The sequence below is a fragment of the Homo sapiens genome, chromosome 1 (assembly GCF_000001405.40).
Source record: "Homo sapiens chromosome 1, GRCh38.p14 Primary Assembly".
Taxonomy (NCBI): Eukaryota; Metazoa; Chordata; class Mammalia; order Primates; family Hominidae; genus Homo; species Homo sapiens.
The window spans coordinates 37,599,238-37,603,522 of NC_000001.11; the positions used below are offsets into that span (position 1 = coordinate 37,599,238).

The following is a 4,285-nucleotide window of genomic DNA, read 5'->3' on the forward strand; positions in this document are numbered from 1 at the left end:
GGGTTTCGCCATGTTGGCCAGGCTGGTCTTGAACTCATGACCTCAGGTGATCCACTTGCCTCAGTCTCCCAAAGTGCTGGGATTATAGGCATGAGCCAGTGTGCCGGGCCCTGACCTCACTTTTATCTTCATTCTGTAAAAAGTTTATCACTGGGGTCTAATGGGCAAATAGCAGCAGCTTCTAAAGCAACATTTTTTAAAGTGTGGTCTGAGAACCACAAGCATCAGAATCACTTGGGGGATCTGTTTTAAAATGCTGGGCATGGTGGCTCATGCCTGGAATCCCAGCACTTTGGGAAGCAGAGGCAGGTGGATCGCTTGAGCGCAGGAGTTCGAGATCAGCCTGGGTGACATGGTAAAACTTTGTTTCTACAAAACATACAAAAATTAGCCAGGCGTGGTGGCTCAAACCTGTAGTCCCAGGTACTTGGGAGGCTGAAGCTGGAGAATCTCTTGAGCCTGGGAAGTGGAGCCTGCAGTGAGATCGTGCCACTGCACTCCAGCCTGGGTGACAGAGTGAGATCCTGTCTCAAAAATAAAATAAAATAAAACAAAAATGCAGATTTCTGGGTTTTATCCCAGAGCTTCCAAAATCAGACCATCTTGGGGGTGGGGCCAAGAGAATCTACATTTTAGCAAGCTCCTCAAGTGATTCTTGTATATACAAAAGTGAAGTCTTTTCCAAGAGTCACTCGGAGGCTTTCTGACCTGCTGACCAGAAGGCAGCCCTGGAAGATCAAGCTTCTTTCCTACCTATCTTAAATCATCTTGTTCTTCTTAGCAGAGCCAGGGTGAGGAAGGCTGCTGCAGTGTCTAATGCACTCTGAAAATATATATCTTGGCTCTGCCCCAAATGCCTTGATATTTATGCTGCAGCCGGAGGGTCGTTATCCTTTGGCAATGCTCATTTGTAAGGCCATTAGCTCTTAATTAGTGCCGGCTTGTTGAGTTGTACTTCCCAGTTGAACTGCTAGCAGAAGCTGCTCTTTTGGGGCCTCTTGTGTCTCTCCTCTGGCAAGCCCATGAAGCATTGACCCGTGCCTGCTGAGGCCAAGAGTTGGGCCCCTGGAATGGCCGCTGCCCAATGTGAAACAGTCCTAGTCCCCAAATGCTAGGTTCTGGGACTCTGGAAGAACAGAGAAAGGCTCAGAATATACATCTTCAGGATTTTGTTGTTTTGTTTCACTGATAGAAAACAAAAAAGTGAGTCCTTGGTTATACAACCTCAACAGTTTTACAAGCAAATTCAAGTATCAGAAAAGTAAAGTTCGGCCGGGCGTGGTGGCTCATGCCTGTAATCTCAGCACTTTGGGAGGCCAAGGCAGGCAGATCATCTGAGGTCAGGAGTTCAAGATCGGCCTGGCCAACATGGTGAAACCCCATCTCTACTAAAAATACAAAAATTAACCGGGCGTGGTGGCACACGCCTGTAAACCCAGCTACTAGGGAGGCTGAGGCACAAGAATTGCTTGAGCTTGAGAGGCAGAGGTTGCAGTGAGTCAAGATTTACACCAGTGCACTCCAGCCTGGGCGACACAGTGAGACCCTGCCACAAAAAAAAAAAAAAAAAAAAAAAAAGGAAAAGAAAAGAAAAGTGTATTAACTTAGAGCTTCATAGGCCAAGTTACCCTCAGTTTTCAGTCTAGGGTGTCTGGGAAATTCTTGGACAAGGATATAGCAAACTAGTGGGCTTGCTACCTGTAAAAATGGCTAGGAGACTCACCTCTGGGAACCCCAAGAAACTTTTCTTCATGGTCACCACTTCTAAGTGGGAAAAACAGTCGTATTAGTCTTGGCATGCATCTCACTGCTGGGTAGGAGCTCTTCAAAAAGATCCCCAGATTAAGCTTTGGAAAAATAACTAGAAGCATTTCGCTCCTTCCTATCACCAAATCCCTTGTGGTCTTCGGCATATTCTGCTCAAGAAAATCTGAGAAGCACTTTTATGAGATGCTATTAATGGCCTCTAATTTTCAGCATGGTTTAGATAACTCAAGACTGCTGGCCGTGTCCTGAGAAGTGGATCCAGAACACACATTGATGTGGGAATTTAAAGTATAATTCCAAATTGTAGGTAATTGTTTAAGCTCTGAGGAGGCTGGAGGGCCTATATTAAGTCATCTCCCCAGGATCAGTGTGTTTCCTATTACACTCAATATCTATCTGTCCAGGGATCCTTTTGATTTTGAAGCCGTTAGACCAAATCTTTGTGTAATTCTTTACTCCCTTCTCTCCTGCCTACCTCCCTCCTTTTTCTTTAAGAAAACACTTTTTAAAAACTTTATCCAGGTCCCTTGGTTTGTTTCCAGTAGAATAATGTCATGTTAAAGAATCTGAAAAGTTAACTTCCCATCTAAAACCAACAGATCAGTGGAGCTCTGTCTGTCAGAAGTTCAGTCTTGCCCTAAGGGCATCCTCTGCCCAGCAAGACACTGAGATTTTCCTTGACCTCCTCCATCCCTCTTGCTCTTCTGTCTAGACTAGGAACAAAATCTTATTTCTAAAATAGAGATTCAGGCAAAGGTATGGAAGAAAGTCAGGGTGAATATCTTCTCAAGCAGCAGAGGAAGAACTAGTCAAAACCTTTAGCTATGTTTCCTTTTTTAGAGCCCCAGTTAGAAAAAGATAAGTCTATCACTCCCTCATCTTTGGGAAAAGCAATCCTTCCTACTCACTTTTTAACCCAGTTTGGAGGAATCTTCTAGATGTTTTTGTTTTGTTTTGTTTTGTTTTGTTTTGAGACAGAGTCTGGCTCTGTCACCCAGGCTGCAGTGCAGTGGCACAATCTCGGCTCACTGCAACCTCGGCCTCCCGGGTTCACGCCATTCTCCTGCCTCAGCCTCCCGAGTAGCTGGGACTACAGGCGCCCGCCACTACGCCTGGCTAATTTTTTGTATTTTTAGTAGAGACGGGGTTTCACCATGTTAGCCAGGATGGTCTCGATCTCCTGACCTCGTGATCTGCCCACCTCGGCCTCCCAAAGTGCTGGGATTACAGGCATGAGCCACCACGCCCTGCCAGATGGTTTTTTGTTGTTGTCATTTGTTTGTTTGTTTGTTTTGAGACGGAGTCTCACTCTGTCATCCAGGCTGGAGCACAGTAATGCGATCTTGGCTCACTGCAACCTCTGCCTCCCAGGTTCAAGCAATTCTCCTGCCTCAGCCTCCTGAGTAGCTGGGATTACAGGTGCCTGTCACCATGCCCAGCTGATTTTTGTATTTTCCGTAGTGACAGGGTTTCACCATGTTGGCCAAGCTGGTCTCAAACTCCTGACCTCAAATGATCCACCTACCTCAGCTTCCCAAAGTGCTGGGATTACAGGCATGAACCACTGCACCTAGCCCCTTCTAGATGCTTTAAAAGTCTATCTGAGAGACTTTAAAGTTGTCAGTTTTGCTTCTAGCTAGAGCTAGGGAAATCCCCAAGATGCCCAGTCACTGTGCCCAGGACCTGGGGACTCAGGTTTTGCTGTGTCCTCCCCACTCTCCTACGTCAAGAAAAGGCATGAACCAAACCAAGTAGCTTATCTCTGAGTGCAGGGGTAGGCAAATTACAGCCCACAGGCCAAATCCCACCAGTTGCTGTTTTTATGTGGCCCAAAAGCTAAGAATGGTCTTTATGTTATTAAATGACCGACCAAATTCAAAATAAGAATAGTATTTTGTAACATGTGAAAATTATATGAAATTCAAACTTCTGGGTTCATAAATAAAGTTTTATTGGTTCACAGCCACACTATTTGTTTACATATGGTCTATGGCTGATTTTGCACTACAAAGGCAGAGATGAGTAGCCACGACAGACCACATATGGCCTGTGAAGCCTAAAATATTTACTACCTGGCCCTTTACAGAAAACACTTGCCTACAACCCCCTGTGCTAGGGCACTGGTATGTGTTCTGATCATTGAAGAGACAGGGAATTGACCATTCAATGACTATTTATTTGCCATTGCTCTCTGAGAGTGAACATTGCCCATCCCACTATAGAGGTATATTTCATTTTTTCTGCCCTGGGGATTCAAACGAGGGTCCACTCCTCACCTGATGTAGCTGATGCTTTCATAGACCAGCAGGGGGCTCTCTGCAGAGGTTTAAAATTCACGGAGAGAGAGCCGGTGCTAGAGGGCAAAAGCAAGTCTCAGGGGAGCAGCACTGACCTGTCAGTCCCCTAACTGAGCTCCAGGACTTTTTTTTTTTTTTTCCTGAGGCCAAAGGAGAAGGGAGCTTCAGGCAGAAATCCAAAGGGCTCCTTTGTCCGCAGTCTTTGTGAAAGCAACTTTGGT

General features: G+C 45.7%; 1 annotated feature.

Annotated features, from left to right (window-relative positions):
- Positions 3,991 to 4,285: an enhancer, noted in NCBI's record as "tiled region #1638; K562 Activating non-DNase unmatched - State 12:CtcfO". NCBI's record gives its function as "activates a minimal TATA promoter and a strong SV40 promoter by Sharpr-MPRA in K562 cells {active_cell/tissue: K562}" and the evidence as "EXISTENCE:reporter gene assay evidence [ECO:0000049][PMID:27701403]".